The following is a 22,618-nucleotide window of genomic DNA, read 5'->3' as shown; positions in this document are numbered from 1 at the left end:
ATGGAATCTCAGTCTTAGATGATATTTCACCCTTACCTATTATTGGATATTTAAAACCTTTACATCTAAGAATAACAAGTATGGCAATATGGCAGACTGAACACACATAACATCAATTATCACTTTGATTAGTTTTTACCAAGTAGATTCAAACCAATCACTTTTCTCTTCTCAGAATGACTTCAGATACAATACTGAATGGGATATTACTAGGTTATAACTTTCTGTTCCTCCTGCAGTCATCTTCAATGGTTCCCACTGAACCAATACCTTTGTCATTCTGCCTTTCCATTTCTCTCTGTTCCTTGTTCAAATGAGATTATATTTCTGCACCACCAGGATCAGTCTTCTTGCATAGTTTTCCACAAGGCATTGGTTTCATGGCACTTTCTAATTGGCATAGCTTCCTTCCACTTTCCCCATCCTAAATATCTACCATCCAAGCATAGACATACACAGCCTCGTGAGAATATTCTAAATATAGGGCAGGTGCTTTACCAAAGAGTTATGTTAAATTCAACACTTATAGCGATGAACTCAGTAGTTTGTATAAGCTCACAAATCCGCCTCAATTAAGCACACCCAAATTCTACCCACCCACACCCCAGTCCTGAGCACATCTGACTTTACTCAGAAGCCCAGATACCCTCAGTCTGAATGACCCCCCATTCTTCTGTGATGAACCCTCTTTTTAATATCTAGATAAAGCTCCCAGGCCACACATGGCAAGAGGCCTAGCACCTTCCTCAGGTTTGCCTCTGCCTCCCCTGAATCAGTCCACTCCACCTGCATCTCTGCCATTGCCAGCCCCTCTATCCCTAGTTTCTGTGACAGACATCCTCTTGCCACTCACTTCCCTACCACTTGATAGCATGGTTTTTCTGCAATTCCTAAAGCATCTCTAACACAAGATTGCTATGTATCACATTTTGCTGACATCTTGAGGGTAATAGAGAGTATTTAGAGCACAGAGCAGGAAACTACTTCCTTCCAATACCAGTTAAAGGTAGACATGTATTGGCCATTCTTGACTACAAGAAATCTCTCAGGACCATATTTCTCCATCGATCACACACAGCCTCCCTCCATGTTCTTAGGACCTCTCACTCTTACTCCATCCTCCTCACACCTCCCTTCCCTTTCCATTCACAGACCTTAGCCCCCTCTATCTATTTTACTCTATTATGAGAGCAGTAACACATTATATCTGTCTCATCCTGACTCATCCTCAATATGCCTAGGAAGTTTTGTTTTTCTCAATCAAAAGTCCCATCAGGGCTATTTGAAAGCAATAGAGTCACTACCTTGGAAATAATATATTATGCCATTCTCCTAGAAGGTAGAAACAGTAACACATTTTTTTGTTAGCAACTTTTTTCTGTTTCATTTGCAACGGCTGCATATGTGGAATGTCTTTTTACTAGGGTGCATTTTCCTGAAATTCACACTGCAGTGTCCCGGGAGTGCTCCACTGTCCTGAAAGATGTGGGACTCAGCAGCAGTCAGAGACTATGCTTGCTTCCTGCTGACTTCACTCTGAACCTGTCCCCAAGTCCCCCAACTGATTTATCCAAGGCAAGGGAAATGTATTTTATTTTCTTGCCAGAGTACTCTCCCAGAGTTGCCCTATTCTAACCCTTTACCATGCAGTAGAGCATCCTTCCCACCTCCATGGTGGCCTTGCTCTCCAGACAGTCCATGTTCACCTTCCCGTCAATTCTTCCACCGTGCCAGGACCATGCTCCCTCTAAAGGCTCTAGAGGAGAATCCATTCCTTGCCTCTTCCACCTTCTGGTGGTTCCAGGAGCTCCTTGGTTTGTAGCTGCACAATTTCTATCTCTACCTCTATCTTCACAGACTCTTCTCTCTGTCTCAAACCTCCCTCTGCCTTTTCTTTTATAAAGATGTCTATCCTTAGATTTAGTGTCCATCTAGATAAACTCTTTCTTACACTAGAAGATTGGCATGTAGAACACTGTTTTCCTCTTCTTGATTTCAAGATCAAGATGGTCTCATCTCAGATCCTTAACTTAAATACATCTGCAAAGACCCTATTTTCAAATAAGGTTGCATTCACAGGTTCTGGTTAGACATATAATTTGGGGTAGAGGGAGACCACCGTTCAACCCACTACAAGCCCCACACTTCTAAGAGCCCTGGCTTGACTCTTGGTTGTAGAGGAAATCTTTCCTGCAACCTCCACAGTACCCTCTAGGTTCAGGAAAGAGATTCACTGGATTTGCCCATTATATACTGCATGAGGCAGACAGACATTGTCTCTCCATAACTGCTGCCAGAGATGTAGTTTCACATGCTAAGATTCTCCAGTAGTGTAAGGTAGAGAATATAACTCAATCTCACTTGACTTTTCCATCTCAGCAGAATGAAAATTTTAACTCTCTCTTCTCTCACTTTCCCTGGAATTTTGTATACAATACTGCACAACAGCATTGTCCAAACGACGATCTGCAGAACAAGAGATATTTCTGGGTGTCCCACAATTACATTCTCTGAGAGAGTGAACACACATACAAGCTTACTAGCGGTTCCAAGAAACCTGCATTAAAGAAAACTGCTACATTTTCTTAATCCAGTCTATCGCTGGACATTTGGGTTGGTTCCAAGCCTTTGCTATTGTGAATAGTGCTGCAATAAACATACGTGTGCATGTGTCTTTATAGCAGCATGATTTATACTCCTTTGGGTACATACCCAGTAATAGGATGGCTGGGTCAAATGGTATTTCTAGTTCTAGATCCCTGAGGAATCGCGACACTGTCTTCCACAATGGTTAAACTAGTTTACAGTCGCACCAACAGTGTAAAAGTGTTCCTATTTCTCCACATCCTCTCCAGCACCTGTTGTTTCCTGACTTTTTAATGATGGCCATTCTAACTGGTGTGAGATGGTATCTCATTGTGGTTTTGATTTGCATTTCTCTGATGCCCAGTGATGATGAGCATTTTTTCATGTGTCTGTTGGCTGCATAAATGTCTTCTTTTGAGAAGTGTTTGTTCATGTCCTTTGCCCACTTTTTGATGGGGTTGTTTGTTTAAACTGGAAACCATCATTCTCAGCAAACTATCACAAGGGCAAAAAACCAAACACCGCATGTTCTCATTCATAGGTGGGAGTTGAACAATGAGAACACTTGGACACAGGAAGGGGAACATCACACACTGGGGCCTGTTGTGGGGTGGGGGGAGGGATAGTATTAGGAGATATACCTAATGTAAATGACGAGTTAATGGGTGCAGCACACCAACATGGCACATGTATACATATGTAACAAACCTGCACATTGTGCACATGTACCCTAGAACTTAAAGTATAATAAAAAAAATAAAAAATAAAAAAAACTGCTTAACCCAATGTTTACCAAACTCTCTTCACCTTAAACAACTTTTTGTTTTTTTATAGTGTATCTTTTAAGATCTCATGGAATACTAATGTCCTACAGAATACAATTTGGAAAGTGTTTTTGGAAAATATGTGGAGTGGCATAAAATTAATATTCCACAAGGAATAGTTATTGCCTTCTCATTCCCAACATTAGAATACACAGCTGTGTTTTGCCATCTTGGTGTTATGGATCCAAAACTAAAATCATCCACAGTGACTATCATTAATAAGACTGTATGGTATACTTGTAATTTGCTAAGAAAGTAGATCTTAAATGTTCTCACCACATACACACCAAAAAGGGTAACTATGTGAGCTGATGGATATATTAATGAGCTTGATCACAGTAGTCATTTCACAATATATGCATGTATCAAAACATCATGTTGTACACCACAAATATATAAAACTCTTATTTGTTAATCATACCTCAATAAAGCTGGAAAAAATGAAAAAGAAAATAAAATTAAGTACTTAATCTAACCAATTTGGGTTTTGTACTTAGAGCTGAGCACCCTGACTTAGCTGGCCTCTATAGAAGATGAAAGCACCAAAACAACACAGAATAACCCCAAGATATTTTTGAAGGCAGTTGCCCATCTCCTCTTTATCTTTTCTCCAGCCTCCTCCTACTACTGGAATCTTGTATATAACAAGCACTGGCTGGCTATCCACCACAAACAAGGCAGTGAGTCATGATGTTCCCATTGCACTCGTGCAATGCACATCTGAGACAAATAAGCCCCAATTACTTTTCCTTTTACAGTCATAGTAGGATTCAGTGACTATGTATGTTTTTGTTACAAATGAGTAACGTAAGTTACAAAATAGATAACTTGTAGGAATATCAATGTAATTTCAAATTATAGAACTTGATAACTTTAAGCACAGATACTACCTACTGTTCAAAAATAGGTGTTATCTGTATGATCATGAGTTTGACCTACGCCCCCCTCCACTTCTTAAGAAGGCAACATTGGATATTGGCATGGATGTTGACCCAGAAGTCAGAAGGCTTAGGTTTCAGTTCTACTCGTAAGACCTCAGACACATCTTTTTGAACTTGAAAAACTTTTCTTTCTGGATTTTCTAAACATGCAAAAAGGACATATTCATGCAGCAAATCTTCATCATTCACAGATTCTGTATCTGCAAGTTCCCTTACTCCCTAATATTTATTTATAACCCCCCCAAAAAAAAATCAATACTCACCATGCTTTCATGATCATTCACAGATATGCAGAGAGGCAAAAAATCGAAGTCATCTGACATGAATGTGCTCAGCTGAGGGAGAACAAGGTGACACCGTGCTTTCTGTTTTTAGCCCTGATACTGAAAAGAGGTGCACTTTTTGTGTTCTATTTAGTGCCACCTTTTCACATTTTTGTGCTTTTTCTTGGTGATTTTGCTGTTTAAAATGGCCCCCAACCATAGCACTGAAGTGTTGTCTACCGTCTTTAAGCACAAGAAGGCTGTGATGTACCCTACAGAGAAAACGCCTGTGTTAGATAAGCTTCATTCAGGCATGAGTTATAGCGCTGTTGGCTGTGAGTTCGATCTTCATGAATCAACAATATATATTAAGTAAGGCATCTTTAAACAGAAATGCACAAGGTTATTTATTAATTGATGAAAATGTTGTGACCAGAGGCTCAAAGAAACCTCACTCTGTATTTACCCTAAGAGCAAGGGTTCAGTATCCACTATTCACTAATTCAATATTCCCGATGACTTTATAGAGCACAGAACTAGCTGTGTTCTATATGGTCTCATAAAGCAGGTATAATGCTTCAATAAGAAAATATGCCCATTCAGCAATATTTAACAATGATTTTTATGTCTATCACAGCACCTGGCTCTATGCAGGCACTGTGGATACATCTCCGAGATACACTAGACAAGGTTCCTGCCCTCACATAGGGCAGAGATAGAAAAGCACTTGGAAAATGTTAAAGCTCTAAACAATACGTTAATACATTAGCTTTTTTCCAATTTTTTGTACTGTGGTAAAATACATATATCAAATTTATTGTCTTAACCATTTTAAGAGTACAGTTCAGCGGTATTAAGCATGTTCATATTGTTGTACAACCATCAGCACCATCCATCTTCAGATCTCTTATCTTGTAAAACTGAAACTCTAAACCCTTTAAGCATTAACTCCCCATTTCTCCCCCGCCCCAGCATTTTACCTCCAGGCCCCCAACATTCTACTTTCAGTTTCTATGATTTTGACTACTCTAAATTCCTCATATTAATTAATTCATACAGTATTTGTCTTTTTGTGACTGGAAAATTTCACTTAGCATAATGTCCTAAAGGTTCATTCCTGTTGTAGCATAGGTCAAAATTTCCTTCCTTCTTAAGGTGGATGGATAAGGGGGCACTTCCTTCTGTCATTTTGCTGTTTGTTTTCTACATACCTTAAAGGGTTTTTTTAACCTTCATTTCCTGCATTATTATCTTTTGTGTTTAGTTGATTATTTTTTTTATTATACTTTAAGTTTTAGGGTACATGAGCACAACGTGCAGGTTTGTTACATATGTATACATGTGCCTTGTTGGTGTGCTGCACCCATTAACTTGTCATTTACATTAGGTATATCTCCTAATGCTATCCCTCCCCCCTCCCCCACCCCACAACAGGCCCTGGTGTGTGATGTTCCCCTTCCTGTGTCCAAGTGTTCTCATTGTTTAATTCCCACCTATGAGTGAGAACATGAGGTGTTGGTTTTTTGCCCTTGTGATAGTTTGCTGAGAGTGATGGTTTCCAGCTTCATCCATGTCCCTACAAAGGACATGAACTCATCATTTTTTATGGCTGCATAGTATTCCATAGTGTATATGTGCCACATTTTCTTAATCCAGTCTATCACTGATGGACATTTGGGTTGGTTCCAAGTCTTTGCTATTGTGAATAGTGCCGCAATAAACATACGTGTGCATGTGTCTTTATAGCAGCATGATTTATACTCCTTTGGGTATATACCCAGTAATGGGATGGCTGGGTCAAATGGTATTTCTAGTTATAGATCCCTGAGGAATCACCACACTGACTTCCACAATGGTTGAACTAGTTTACAGTCCCACCAACAGTGTCAAAGTGTTCCTATTTCTCCACATCCTCTCCAGCACCTGTTGTTTCCTGACTTTTTAATGATTGCCATTCTAACTGGTGTGAGATGGTATCTCATTGTGGTTTTGACTTGCATTTCTCTGATGGCCAGTGATGATGAGCATTTTTTCATGTGTCTGTTGGCTGCATAAATGTATTCTTTTGAGAAGTGTCTGTTCATACCCTTCACCCACTTGTCAATGGGGTTGTTTGTTTTTTTCTTGTAAATTTGTTTGAGTTCTTTGTAGATTCTGGATATTAGCCATTTGTCAGATGAGTAGATTGCAAAAATTTTCTCCTATTCTGTAGGTTGCCTGTTCACTCTGATGGTAGTTTCTTTTGCTGTGCAGAAGCTCTTTAGTTTAATTAGATCCCATTTGTCAATTTTGGCTTTTGTTGCCATTGCTTTTGGTGTTTTAGACATGAAGTCCTTGCCCACGCCTATGTCCTGAATGGTATTGCGTAGGTTTTCTTCTAGGGTTTTCATGGTTTTAGGTCTAACATTTAAGTCTTTAATCCATCTTGAATTAATTTTTGTTTTTTTTTTAAAGATCAACAAAATTGATAGACCGCTAGCAAGACTAATAAAGAAGAAAAGAGAGAAGAATCCAATAGATGCAATAAAAAATGATAAATGGGATATCACCACCGATCCCACAGAAATACAAACTACCATCAGAGAATACTGTAAACACCTCTACACAAATAAACTAGAAAATCTAGAAGAAATGGATAAAGTCCTCGACACATACACCCTCCCAAGACTAAACCAGGAAGAAGTTAAATCTCTGAATAGACCAATAACAGGCTCTGAAGTTGAGGCAATAATTAATAGCTTACTAACCAAAAAAAGTCCGGGACCAGACGGATTCACAGCCGAATTCTACCAGAGGTACAAGGAGGAGCTGCTACCATTCCTTCTGAAACTATTCCAATCAATAGGAAAAGAGGGAATCCTCCCTAACTCATTTTATGAGGCCAGCATCATCCTGATACCAAAGCCTGGCAGAGACACAACAAAAAAAGAGAATTTTAGACCAATATCCCTGATGAACATCGACGCAAAAATCCTCAATAAAATACTGGCAAACCGAATCCAGCAACACATCAAAAAGCTTATCCACCATGATCAAGTGGACTTCATCCCTGGGATGCAAGGCTGCTTCAACATATGCAAATCAATAAACATAATCCAGCATATAAACAGAACCAATGACAAAAACCACATGATTATCTCAATAGATGCAGAAAAGGCCTTTGACAAAATTCAACAACCCTTCATGCTAAAAACTCTCAATAAATTAGGTATTGATGGGACATATCTCAAAATAATAAGAGCTATTTATGACAAACCCACAGCCAATATCATACTGAATGGGCAAAAACTGGAAGCATTCCCTTTGAAAACTGGCACAAGACAGGGATGCCCTCTCTCACCACTCCTATTCAACATAGTGTTGGAAGTTCTGGCCAGGGCAATCAGGCAGGAGAAGGAAATAAAGGGTATTCAATTAGGAAAAGAGGAAGTCAAAATGTCCCCGTTTGCAGATGACATGATTGTATATCTAGAAAACCCCATCGTCTCAGCCCAAAATCTCCTTAAGCTGATAAGCAACTTCAGCAAAGTCTCAGGATATAAAATCAATGTGCAAAAATCACAAGCATTCTTATATACCAATAACAGACAAACAGAGAGCCAAATCATGAGTGAACTCCCATTCACAATTGCTTCAAAGAGAATAAAATACCTAGGAATCCAACTTACAAAGGATGAGAAGGACCTCTTCAAGGAGAACTACAAACCACTGCTCAACGAAATAAAAGAGGATACAAACAAATGGAATAACATTCCATGCTCATGGATAGGAAGAATCAATATCATGAAAATGGCCATACCACCCAAGATAATTTATAGATTCAATGCCATCCCCATCAAGCTACCAATGACTTTCTTCACAGAATTGGAAAAAACTACTTTAAAGTTCATATGGAACCAAAAAAGAGCCCACATTGCCAAGTCAATCCTGAGCCAAAAGAACAAAGCTGGAGGCATCATGCTACCTGATACCTGACTTCAAACTATACTACAAGGCTACAGTAAACAAAACAGCATGGTACTGGTACCAAAACAGAGATATAGACCAACGGAACAGAAAAGAGCCCTCAGAAATAATGCCACACATCTACAACTATCTGATCTTTGACAAACCTGACAAAACCAAGAAATTGGGAAAGGATTCCCTATTTAATAAATGGTGCTGGGAAAACCGGCTAGTCATATGTAGAAAGCTGAAACTGGACCCCTTCCTTACACCTTATAGTTGATTTTTATAGTGAAATTTTGCATAGTTTCAATTCCTTTTTCATTTCCTTTTGTATATATTCTATTTTCTTTGTAGTCACCATAGGGACTGTATTTAATATCCTGAAGTTATATATTCTAATTGGGATTCATACCAACTTAACTTCAATAACATAAAAACACTGCTCCTTTACATCTCTGTCCACTCTCCTTTCAATTGTTCATGCCACATAATTACATCTTTATACATTGTGTGTCAAAAACATAAACTAATAATTTTTAATGCATTAACTTCTTAAATTATAGAGAAACAAAATGTGGAATTAAAAACCAAAATTATAACACTACTAGGTTTTAGACTAATAATTGCTTTTAAAAAATGTATCAGTCTCTTACATCATGGAGGAAACAAAAAGCAGAGTTACAAACCATTGTTACAATAACACCAGCTTTTATAATCGCCCTTCTTTACCTTTACTGAGATTTTTATTTCTTCATATGGCTTCAAGTTACTGTCTAATGTCCTTTCATTTCAACCTGCAGGACTCCCTTTAGCATTTCTTGCAGGGCAGTTCTAGTGGTAATGAACTCCCTCAACTTTTGTTTATCTGGAAATGTCTTAATTTCTCCTTCATTTTTGTAGGACAATATTGCTGGATAAATGATTCTTGTTTTTTCTTTTTGCACTTTGAATACATCAGCCCACTGCATTTTGGCCTTTAAAGTTTCTGATGAGGAATATGCTGATAATCTTATTATTGTTCCCTTGCTTGTGATGAGTCACTTCCCTTGCTGCTTTCAAGCTCCTTTTTTTGTCTTTTTTGAAACTAAGCTTTCAAAAGTTTAGTTAAAATTTGTCTCAGATGCATAGTTTGCAAATATTTTCTCCCATTCTGTAGGTTGTCTGTTTACTCTGTTAATAGCTTTTTTTTTTTTTTTTTTTTTTTTTTTTTTTTGCTGGGCAGAAGCTCTTAAGTTTAATTAGATCCCACTTATCAATTTTTGCTTTTGTTGCAATTGCTTTTGGTGTCTTTGTCATGAAACCTTTGCCTATTCCTATGCATCTGACAAAGGTCTAATATCCAGCATCTATAAGGAACTTAAACAAATTTACAAGAAAAAAACAAACAACCCCATTAAAAAGTGGACAAAGGACATGAATAGACACTTCTCAAAAGAAGACATACATGGAGCCAACAAGCATACTTTAAAAGGCTCAATATCACTGATCATTAGAGAAATGCAAATCAAAACCACAATGAGATACCATCTCACACCAGTCAGAATGGCTATTATTAAAAGGTCAAAAAATAACAGATGCTGGTGAGGTTGCAGAAAAAAGGGAACCACTTACACACTGTTGATGGAGGTGTAAATTAATTCAACCATTGTGGAAAGCAGTATGACAATGCCTCAAAGAGCTAAAAGCAGAACTACCATTAAACCCAGCAATCCCATTACTGGGCATGTACCCAGAGGAATACATATAAATCATTCTACCATAAAGACATATGCACGTGAATATTTACTGCAGCACTATTCACAATAGCAAAGACCTGAAATCAACCTAAATGCCCATCAATGACAGAATGGATAAAGAAAGTGTGGTGCATATACACCACGGAATACTATGGAGTCATAAAAAAAAGAATGAGATCATGTACTTTGTGGGAACTTGGATAAAGCTGGAGGATGTTATCCTTAGCAAACTAACACAGGAACAGAAAACCAAATACCGCATATTCTCACTTATAAGTAGGGTTAAATGATAAGAACTTATGAACATAAAGAAGGAAACAACAGACACTGGAGTCTACTTGAGGGTGGGAGGAGTGAAAGGAGCAGGAACAGTAACTATTGAGTACTGGTCTTGATACCTGAGCGATGAAACAATCTGTACAACAAACCCCCATGAGACGTGCTTAACTATGTAACAAAGCCTTACATGTACCCCCAAACCTAAAATAAAAGATTTTTTTTTTGAGACAGTGTCTCACTCTGTCACCCAGGCTGAAGTGCAGTGGTACAGTGGCGCAATCTCAGCTCACAGCAACCTCCACCTCCCGGGTTCGAGCAATTCCCCTGCCGCAGCCTCCTGCATAGCTGGGATTACAGGTGCCTGCCACCACGCATGGCTAATTTTTTTTATTTTTAGTAGATACTGGATTTCACCATATTAGCCAGGATGGTCTCGATCTCCTGACCTCATGATCTGCCCGCCTCAGCCTCCCAAAGTGCTGGGATTACCAGCGTGAGCCACTGCACCCGGCCAAAATAAAAGATTTTTAAAAAGATGTGTCTCAATGTGGGTCTCTTTGAATTCACCCTATTTGAAGTTTGTTGAGCTTCTTGGATGTTTATGTTCATAGCTTTCATCAAGTTTGGGAAGTTTTTGGCCATTATTTCTTCAAGTGTTCTCTCTTCCCCTTTCTCTCTCTCTTCTCCTTCTGAGACTTTCATGTGTATGCTGGTCCACTTAAGGGTGTCTCACAGTTCCTGTGCTCTGCTCACTTTTCTTTAATCTTTCCTTTTCTGAGACACAATCATTTCTTGTCCTCTCTTCAATTTTGCTGATTCTTTCTTCTTCCTGTTCAAATCTGCCTTTGAATCCCTCTAGTGAATTTTTTATTTCAGTTATTGTTTTTTTCAGCTCCAGAATTTCTTGTTGGTTTCTTTCTATATTCTCTCTCTCTCATTTATATTTTCATTTTGTTCAGACATTGTTTTTCTTGTTGTTGCTGTTGTTGTCATTTTACTTTCTCCATGTCTTTGTTTAGTTCTTTGAGCATCTTTAAGATAGTTATTTTAAAATTTTTGTCTAGTAGATCCACCACTAGGTCTAGTTCAGGGACAGCTTCCATTGGTTTATTTTTTTTTCCTTGAATGAAAAGTATGTTCCTATTCCTTTACATGCCTTGTGATTTTTTTTGTTGAAAACTGGACATTTGGATCTAATAATGTGGTACCTCTGTAAATCAGATTATCCCTCTTCCCCAGGATTTGCTGGCTGTTGTTATTTTTGGTTTTGTCTGTATTGTTATAGGCTGTCTGTGTGCCAAGGATCAGCCTGAGGTGTAAATTTAAAGTTTTCTCAGGTCTCAGGTCGTTTCTGAGCCTGTACCTTCCCCTGGGTATGCATGGTCACTTTCTAGACTTCTCCTGTATATACAGTTACTTTTAAATGTTTTATTCTTTAATGTCTGGCTCCAAAAGGGGAAAAGAAAAAAAAATGAAAAGGGAAGAAAGGGCTCTGAAGTCATTTCAGCTAGCGAGGGAGAGACTTGCAACAATGCGGGAAGGTGTAACAACAATGGCTGTCGTCTCTTAGTCTGTACCTGTATAATCAGAAGCTGCAATCAGAAATCAGAGCACGAATTCCTGATTTTTGGAGGACAGAGTCCTCTTTGCCAACCCTGGCTCCTACAAGCTGTGTACAAGCCCCTTCAGGAACTAGTGCATGGCTGCCTGCCATGGGGCTGGGTGTGCGGAATGGGTAGCTGCTACTGTGCTAAGAGATAAAATTGGCTGAAATTAACCACAATTTACTACCCATGCCTTCTCTTGGAAGTTGCCAGCCTTTAAGAGACTCCAGAGTTCCAAAATAGTTACATCAGACAGATTCTGCCAGGGCGGTTGTTGTGTAGATGAGGACAGATTCCTGGTCCTTCCTACACCACCGTCTTCCCAGAATTCTGTCTGTGAAATTAACTTTTATGTTAATGTTAATAAGTTTTCCTACTATTAAGACTATTTGAAAATCCTTTGCTTTGAAAGCATAGGCTTTGTTCTTATGGGACCTGAAATATTTTTTACAAAATTCCTCTAATTCAAACCATAAGGATGAAGAAGACAACAAACAAAACATTTCAAGAAAACTTCAGTATTAGATTTAAGCTCATAAACAATTTATATTACAATAATTGTTAAGCACAATAAATGCAAAGCACTTTATAAAGAGAAGATCAAAATTCTTCTCTAGTCATTAGGAAATGTAATTCACATCAGGAAGAAAATAGATATATAACGAAGGGATATTGGGTTATTAAAGGGTCACCTGGTCCTAGGTACTCAGAAGACTAGTCAAATAAATAACATAAAGACCATTCTTATCAGGGTAGAGAGTGATAAGCAAAATCAAGAAGGCACAAAAGTAACATGAAGAAGTTCATGGATATTAATGCCCTTTTCCACACTATTCAAAATATTCAGAGTATTAGGAAAATAGCAGTAGCCAAGTCAGACCAAAAGATTCAGGAGCAAATGTCAGTGAGGGTACTTTAATTACTGCTCCATTTTATTGGTCCAGTTTTACCCATGAGACTGTCAGTTCTATTTTGGAAAATTTGGCTACAATGTTTCGGGTATTAAAGTGCCATATTGAACAGTTACACAGCTTCTCCCAATCTGTTTTCTTCAACTCCACTACAACTGATTGAAAGGACTTAGTGCTCTTATGCACCTCCCTAGCCTGGCGTAGTGGAGATAGCAACATAGATGTTGCTATGTAACAAAGAACATGCCAGTTTATCTTCCCCTAGCTCTAGGCACAGCTGGAAGGAAAGAAAAGGAAACCCATTTTAAAGCATTTTAAAGCTACTCTCTATTCCAGACTATGAGGCTGCTCTGTTTAGGATCTAAAATATGCTTACTTTAACCCATCTTTGTTGACACAGCCACAAACTTCAGCAAATACTGAAACCAGACTCAACTAGATTTCTTATAAACTTTCATATGTGAGCAAAATCCCCCCTTGATTTTGCCTAGTGTTCATCTGCTATAATTTTTACCAAGTTCTAAAAAGGAAATCTTCCAGCATTTCCTATTCTATATTTTTCAGCTTAAAAAAATAAAATGCCAGTTGGACAGCACTTATCCATTTGAAGTTATAGTAAATTTTGCCTCTTCATTCTCTCAAAAGGTTTTTTCTGATAATCATCACTGTGTTTATATTTTATAAGCAGTCCTTCTAACCCATATAACTCTCTCTGATGCTCAAAGTAGTAAGGATAATTGGACCTGCATTTACAGAAGAAAAACACAACAAACAAAAATCAGAAGCCAAAGCTTTGTGTTGGGGGTCTGGAGGGGGTGGGGGCATCTCTTTTTTCAAAGAGCCCTAAATGTGTTCACACTTGGCTGACTTACACTGGGAAAAATGTGCTGTCCTCGTACAAAGCCAAGGGCTCATGTCCTCTGGCCTTTGTCCTCAAACCTTCTCTATGACCAGTGTCATAAACCCCATTCATTTCATAATGAGCCACTTCTTCTGAACCACTTCTTCCTTATGCTGTAACTGGCCAGGTAACCTTGGACCTATCTCTGATAACTTCTCTAAGCTTCAGAACCCTTGCCAATAAAATCTGGGTAATCCCTTCTTTGCTTGAAAGCTTGGAGGCAGACCTTTCCCATTTTAGATCCAAGCTTCCTAGCCATGTGTTCAAGACCCTACACAGTCTGGTTCCAATGCCAACATCCTGGACAGCCCTCTCCTCCCTCCTCCTCCTGCCCCGTGTAATGCAGCCCTGACTCCTGATCCATAAACATTCCCTCCTGTACGTATGCATCTCTGTGCCCCAGTTCCAGCCTCTCTTTCTAGATTAACATCCTTCCACCAGAAGTTCAGACCCAGTTCCCAGGGCACCTACTCCATTAAGCCTTTCCTGATTTTCTCCAGCTACAATTTTTCCCTTCTATTCACTCCTTCTTACGAAACATTCACACTCTTTGTGGTATTAGGAATGATTTATATACAGCTGTATTCTTCTCTACCAGATGTAGGCAAAAACCTCAGTTTACTCATATTTCTATCTCTCTCTCCTCTCCACCCCAAGGTCCAGATAGAGTCTCAATTTTTAATAGATGTTCATTAAATATTTCTTAGGTTAACAAAAAGCATATAAATTTACTTCACTATGCTGGTCTCTCTTTATATAAAAATGACTAGAGGCCAGTGTGGTGGCTCATGCCCATAATCCCAATACTTTGGGAGTCCGAGGCAGGAAGACCACTTGAGGCCAGAAATTCAAATTTAGCTGGCCATGAAGGCACATGCCCACAGTCCCAGCTACTCGGGAGGCTGAGGCAGGAGGATTGCTTGAGCCCAGGAGGGTAAGGCTGCAGTGAGCTACATTTGCACCCCTGCACTCCAGCCTGAGTGACAGAGCAAGACTCTGTCTCTAAAAAAAAATAAAATAAAATAAATTAGTATAGGAAAGAGTGATCATATTGGCTAACTAGCTTGAGATCACCTAAAAAAAAGGATAGCAAATATTTATTACAAAATTAATGATGCTATAGATCAGCATAAGCCATGGGTACAGGAACATCAACACCTCGTAACCAGGCCCCTGATTCTGGTTACTAAAACTTTGGGGGAAGGTAATGTATATGTCCTGCCACTGGTCACCCACCTTCATCCTCTGATGACACAGTTTTTGGTCCATCTCCCAGGCCAGGCTTACTCAGAATGGTGCAAGATTATCTCCATCTGCAACAACTGAGACAACCTCAGCCTCTTTTGCTACCTGGAACTTCAAACTCTCTCTGACATGATAAGAAAGCACACTCACTACCGCAAGTATTGGGGGGAAAGGAAAGGAAACTTAAATATGTGATGAAATATTAACCTTGAAATCAGATGAGGTAATTAATACATTTTAATGTGCCTCTTTTATAAGATGACATATTCTTACCCAGTAAATAACATGGCTGCCAGGAATATATTTTTGTTCTTAGAAACCAAATACATTTTTTTTTAAGTTCCGGGATACAAGGGTGGGATGTGAAGGTTTGTTACATAGGTAAATGTGTACCATGGTGGTTTGCTGCACCTATCAACCCATCACCTAGGTATTAAGCCCAGCATGCATTAGCTATTTTTCCTGATGCTCTCCCTTCCCGCCATTACCCTCTGGATAGGCCCCAGTGTGTGTTGTTCCCCTCCCTGTATCCATGTGTTCTCATTGTTCAGCTCCTACTTATAAGTGAGAACATGCAGTGAGAGACCAAACACCTTTGATCATAAAAAGTCACACATGACTTTGAGTTTTACAAATCAGTATCCTTCCACATATGGAATAAAATATCCAAAAAAAGGACTGGGGTCAGGAGACCTGTATTTGCAGCCTCAAGCTCACAATACATATTATCATTTCAATTCTAGTTCTTGCTGCACAAGGCATAGCCCACAAGGCCCTCTCTATTCTAGTCCCATCTATCCCCAAGTTTTTGGTCATCTGACACATCGAGAAGCTCACCAGTCTTTGGACATATCAGACATCTTCTGAGCTTCATGCCTTAGCTCAGGTCGGACACTCTCTCCTTCCTCCTCTCTGCTTTCCTTCAACAGCTTCTGCCCTGAGTTCATTTCTGAGTGAATTATTTGCTCCTACATCTGTGCTTACATATGGCTTAATTTAGTACTTGAATATCATGTTTGGTTAGTTGAGTACCTATGTTATGTGGTTCTCACCCCCCCAAAGGATGATGATTTGCCTACTTTTTTTTTTCCAGAAATTAGCATAGTGTCTGACTCATAATTGTGTCCATTCAAACCTGTTCTTTGCTTCCATGGCATAGAATCATCACCTTAAAGTGTCTGTTCAGCATAAGACTAAGAATTTCCCAAACCCTCTATCATCTACATAGGGCCATCTAGGCAGCTCTCCCATGGAATAAGAACAGAAGTGATGCTTCCCTCTTTCAGGCCAAGTTGGTTAAGAATGGCTCCTTTTCCACACTCGGTTTCCCTTTGCACCAATGGGAAGTAGAGGATTCCAGGTCCTGGAAAGGCCACAAGGCAGAAGGAGTCGAAGACCTTGAGTTACTGCATGGACAAAAGCCTCCTTCAGCAGGAGACACCCTCATTAGACAGTTATATGAGCAAGGAATAAACTTCTACTGTGTTATCACCGAAATCTGGGGCTTTATTTGTTACAGAAGCTTTATCCTAACTATACAGATTAATTCTCAAAACTGTATATTTTATTTAATTAAATAATCCTGTGTAACCAACAATGGTTGTCCTTGTCCCTCTGAAGTCTAAATCACAAAGTACCAATAAAGGAGAAGAAAGAGAGTAGGAGGAGGAAAAAAAAAAAGGAAGGAAGGAGAGAGGCAAGGCAAAGAAAGGGAGGGAGGGAAGGGAGGGAGGAAGGGAAGGAGGGAGGGAAAGAAGATCTAAGCAATGAACAATTGTAGTCAAACTATCACCTCATATGTAAGTTGCCTATATCCTCACCATCAGTTGAGCACATTATAACCAAGTTATTCATTAATTGTGCTGCTATAGCACTTTGGGAGGCCGAGATGGGTGAATCATTTGAGGTCAGGAGTTACAGACCAGCCTGGCCAACATGGCGAAACCCCATGTCTACGAAAAAAAATACAAAAAATTAGCTGAGCATGGTGGCACACACCTATAGTCCCAGCTACTTGGGAGGCTGAGGCACAAGAATCACTTGAACCCAGGAGGCAGATGTTGCCATGAGCCAAAGTTAAGCCACTGCACTCCAGCCTGGGCAACAAAGCAAGACACTGTCTTAAAAAAAAAAAAAAAAATTGCTACCGTATCCACAGTGCCTAAAACATTCCCTGAGACATAGTAGACATCCCGAAAATATATGCTGACTTTAGTAAATAAAATTATGAATGAATACCATACCTTTTCTTTCTTACAAAATGACCTGAAGAAATCAAATCTCCCTAAACTAAGAGATCATGGTATTTAGTTAAGTATAAAATAATCTGTTGACTCTGACAGTGGAAAGAAACAACATATATGACTATTACAACATGCATCTGAATGCCTATGATGTGGCAGATGCCCTATGGGATCCATGTTCTCTGGCAGCTTTCTTCTAAAATAATAGCTTTTTGCTTGTTGTTAAAGAGCTGATATTTAATGGCTGGCTCTGCACCAGATAAAAGGCAGCATTTTCTCCCTTCTTATCCTAATCTCCAAAACAACTTACTTAGAAGAATTTTTAGAAAAACCTTCAGAAGATAATTTTTGAGTAGGGAGAGCAGGGAAAAAGGAGAAATTTCTAAAACAGAATGAAATAATCCAACCTTAGTATCAAGTAAAAGAAGAAGAGCCCACGTATGGCACTGAGAACAATTTACTTTACATCCTATGGTGCAATGGTCCAATTATTGCAGTATATATATAATGCTAAATTTCGCCCAGTCCTGCTAATCAGACAGCGGCTCACTGTGTCTGTTTATCTCTAAGCCATTACCCAGTTGTACAGTAAATCTGCATTTCCAGAGATGGTCTAAAATAGAAACCCATGCTGGCTAAATTTGTTTTGGGACATATCAGGCAACAGCTAGAAATTTTTAAATGACCAACTTGTATTCCACTGAGGCACTGAATGAATTGATTAGGGAAAAGCTAAAAATTGAATAGTATTTTTTGGAGTAGGCTAAGGTTAGTGTTGCCAATGAAAATATGTAACTACCAAGAGAACGGCTATCAATCATAGCTGATTTTCAAATAGAAATTTGGGGAAAAATGAGATTAAATGCGAAAGGGGAATGTCTTGTTTTCCCCTCTATATGCCCCTTTCCAACTAGGTCAATCATATAATTAAGTCATCAGAAATACACTCAAACTCCCACCACTAAAATTATGACAGGCGATAACAAAGTTTTCCACCAGCCAGAGGTTATTTTTCAGTTCAACAACCTTTGGTCAGAAGATCAGATCAGCACATGGACTCTGCAAAGGGCTAACGTTCAGTGGACCAATATCATGTGATTGATTGGTTTATAATACGGAGTGTGTGGTGCTGCCTTTGAGAAGAGTGCTCTCTGGAGAGACAAGCCCAGCTATTGTTTGGCTGCTCTCATGTTAGCGAGTGCCCTGCGGTAACCCTCGTGCTCTGAAATACTCATATTGGTTATTTCAAAGTTGGGTGCAGAATTGTGCTTTCCCGTGTCTGTCACTAATGACTTGCAGCTGTTGCTAATCTGTGCCTCTGATTTCCTTTGATTACTATGTGTATTGATGCCTGTGGTAAATAGGCATCTGCCAGGTGCCAGCACAATCAGGGAAAAAATATAAAAAGTTCCCTGTTTCAAATTCAATGTGACATTGTGCAAGTTGAGAGGCAGCCATTTAACTATTCAGAGGAAACAGCTTCCTGGGGCACCTCCGGCCTCCTGGCCAGGGACATTCCCCCATTCTCCCCCCGCTGCACCCCCTCCCCAGATGAGGCTGACTTTCTTTAGGATTGTTTTCAGCCACGAGAAGAGGGTTTCCACACCACATGACATCAGCAGAGGGAAGAATATCTCAGAGGGGTGGCTATGACCCGAGTTTCTAGAGAGAAAGTGTCTCACCTCTTGACTGATTTAAGCTTTGAAAGACCTCACCTGCCCCAGCAAGTTCCCAAAAGCTTCTCCACCAGAGCTGTCTTGATTTCTTGGTTTCAGGGGTTTGGGGCTTTTTTTTCTTTTTTAACCTCTGAGGAACACATCTTACTCAGGAAGGGTCCTGGGCATATCACCTTCTCTTTCAGGAGAAGCAGAGGATAATCTAGGAGAAAACAGAGCCAGAAGGAGGCTTTCTTAGAAAAGATGCAAAAGTAGCTTTCCTGGAGCATCATGTTTTGTTGTTCTTAGAAGAGCTATAGACAGAAGGAGAGTTTCTCTACCTCTCACTCCAAAGCAGCAGCCTCAGAATGCAGCGAGGAAGGAGTGAGCCTCCAGTGTCCCCGGGATGGGTTGGTTTTCCCCGGTGGCTTCTTTGGCCTTCCTTGACTGCAGCAGTGAGACTGTATTCCTGGACAGCAGCAGATGCTGGCTCTTCCCATGCCGTGGGGGAGTTACTTTGCTTGTCACTGGCATCTCCTTCTTCTGTCTGTATGTCATGAAGACAGTGACACGTTAGCCACACTTTGACAGGTTCACTGTTGTTTCCAGTTTCGAATAGAAAAATCTTCCATCATTTTGAGGCCCATCCACCATTTTATCATTGCTAGGAAACGGAGCAAGAGGCAGATCTACTCTGAAGTTAGTTTGTCAGGCTGCAAAGTTAGGCACCCCAAGGTAAGGACCAAAGAATAAAGGCTAAGTGAGACCCAGAATATTGGGGAAAAGTATATGAGATCTCAAGGTAGCTTCACATTTACTAGATCATTTGAACCTTACAAAAATCTGAAAGGAAAATGAGAATCTGGTGGAGTTTTTAAATCCCCAGTTGAGCAATTTTAAAACTCAGACTATGGCTAGGACATGGATTTACAAGCAGAGCTCAAGAATGTTTGGTCATTTTTCACCAAACTGGAAGAAAGTGTTCACTATGGACATTTAATGCCTAGGGCTTCAAATATCAATCAGCAAGACAAGTGTGTGTGCCCCCAACAAGAGATAAAAGCAGTTGGAACATGGATGAAAGAGGACCTCATGTCTAGGTCAGAAGAAATAATTATAAGACTTTCGTAAATGCTCCTTAGCCCCATGATTAAGGGAAACAGATACATCGTAGTGGTCATCTGGACATTGATTGTAGGATTCAGAAAAAAGATCTCTGAGTCAAGTACAGCAATGGCAAGGGGATATAGGATAATAAATTAGCAAAATTGTGAGACAATATTCCTGGAAAGAGATATAGTATCATTTCTGGGTACTCAGACAACAAACAGTTCAAAAATATTTCACCACACTACATTTTATTTTAAGACAATGGTAAAGTAAATTCCAGATCCAAACTGGAAGCAAGTCAACATCAAAGAAGACGTTGGCACAAGTTGAGTGTCCCTAATTTGAAAATCCAAACTCCAGGCCAGGCATGGTGGCTCACACCTGTAATCCTAGCACTTTGAAAGGCCGAAGTGGGTAGATCACTTGAGGTCAGGAGTTCAAGACCAGCCTGGCCAGCATGGTGAAGCCTGTCTCTACCAAAAATACAAAAATTAGCTAAGTGTGGTGGTGCACACCTGTAATCCCAGCTATTCAGGAGGCTGAGACAGGAGAATGGCTTGAACCCGAGAGGCAGAGGTCGCAATGAGCTGAGATCGTACCACTGCACCCCAGCCTAGGTGACAGAGCAAGACTCCATCTCAGAAAAAAAAAGAAAAAGAAAAAGAAAGTCCAAAATGCTCCAAAACCTGAAGCTTTTTGAGCACCAACATTGATGCCACAGGGGCTAATTCCACACCTCACCTCATGTGATAGGTGGCAGTCAAAATGCAGTCAAAACTTTGTTTCATGCACAAAATTATTTAACATGTTGTACAAAATTACTGTCAGGCTATGTGTATAAGTGTACAGGAAACATTTTGTATTTAGACGTGGATTCCATCCGCAAGCTATCACATTGTACATATGCAAGTATTCAGACTCTGAAAAAAACAGAAGTCTGAAATACTTCTGGTCCCAAGCATTTTGGATAAGGGATACTCAACCTGTAGATTTAAAAAGAAGAAGATGCTACCAGACGCAGAAAATGCTCCCAAAAAGACTGGTTAAAGGTAAAGAGATCAAAGAGATTAGAATTTGCTGCTGCCCTCTTAATCAAAGATTTACACAGTATGCAAAAGCATTTTTCTTCTCTTTGACAGCCAGAAAAGAGATAGAAGGAGATGAGGTTTAGAGTAGAAAATCTAGGTGTAGAGCAGATAATTCAGAAAACCAGTAGGAAATGGCTAAAGACATGCATTACTGCGTTAATACCAATCCACATACCCACCTTCCTACAACCCCACCCCCCAAAGGAATGCAGGGAATGACATCAGGAACAACACACTTGCAGTGAGCCGAGATTATGCCACTGCACTCCAAATTGGGCGACAGAGCGAGACTACGTTTCAAAAAAAAAAAGAAAAAAAGAAAAGAAATCCACTGACTGTGCACCCAGGGTTGTTACCATGAGATTCATTTTCATCATGGGTGAAGGCAGGTACACATCTAAGGCTCAGTGCTACCTGTTTCAGGTCATTGCAATGGCAATTCCTGTTTTCCAAACAAACACAGTTTTGTACCTAACTTCCCAAAATGTGATGTAAGGAAAGTTATCATGATGAGCTTTTCTGCAAATTAAAATAAAATAAAATAGGCTGGTTGCAGTGGTTCACACCTGTAATTCCAGCACTTTGGGAAGCCAAGGTGAGAGGATCACTTGAGGCCAGGAGTTTGAGACCAGTCTGGGCAACATAGCAAGACCTCACCTCTCAAAAAGAAAAAAAAAAAGCCATGTACAATAAAATAATTAGAACCAAAAAAAAAAAGAACTTTAAAAAGTGGTAAATATTATATGCCCCCTTCTAAAGATTCCTACAACGTATTAGCACATATGGACTCTGAGGAGTCTTCAATAAGATTTAACATAGTTTAATCTAGAATTTTCTAAAAGTATTTGATATAATAGAAAACCCCCTTATACATACAGCACCTATTAATACACCAGAAACAGTGTTTTGTGGCCAGGCTATTTTAATATAGTTATTCACTTTTCTGCATATAAAGATAACATTTTATTATTTACAAATTGGCAAGTGCAGGGTGTACTCCTATGACAGACTTTCATCTATATAATTTGGTCCATAAACTGGTCATAATATTTAATTAATAAACTTTGGCAATAGTCAAGATGAGACAAAAATTACTATTCAGTTGAAATCTCATGGTATGATGAGATAATTTGGGGTTTTAAGTCTTAATTGCTTATCGTATGTTTTGTGAAATATTTCACTTGTATTACTGACAGTGGGCAATGACATGATTTTTAGCACAAAAATGTGATCTCAGGAAAACTGTACATCTGTTTTATAGTAACATTCATCCTCTATGTCCCT

General features: G+C 39.4%; 1 long non-coding RNA gene across 1 annotated transcript in view, besides 1 other annotated feature; it reads right to left on the bottom strand.

Annotated features, from left to right (window-relative positions):
• MIR548A1HG (MIR548A1 host gene) overlaps nucleotides 1-22,618 on the bottom strand; it is a 200,152-nt gene that overhangs the window by 167,368 nt on the left and 10,166 nt on the right. The window contains exons 2-3 of the long non-coding RNA NR_149116.1: nucleotides 19,478-19,683; nucleotides 19,197-19,359 (exon numbers count right to left, since the gene is read on the bottom strand). This is a non-coding gene — a long non-coding RNA (MIR548A1 host gene). The remainder of the gene's footprint in view (nucleotides 1-19,196; nucleotides 19,360-19,477; nucleotides 19,684-22,618) is intronic.
• Nucleotides 17,495-19,134: an enhancer, noted in NCBI's record as "VISTA enhancer hs1052". NCBI's record gives its function as "enhancer in: forebrain[7/13] | branchial arch[7/13] | cranial nerve[9/13] | other[8/13]" and the evidence as "EXISTENCE:transgenic organism evidence [ECO:0001131][PMID:17130149]".

This window comes from Homo sapiens, chromosome 6, assembly GCF_000001405.40.
Source record: "Homo sapiens chromosome 6, GRCh38.p14 Primary Assembly".
Classification (NCBI taxonomy): domain Eukaryota; kingdom Metazoa; phylum Chordata; class Mammalia; order Primates; family Hominidae; genus Homo; species Homo sapiens.
This window is presented reverse-complemented; position numbering and strand designations above follow the sequence as displayed.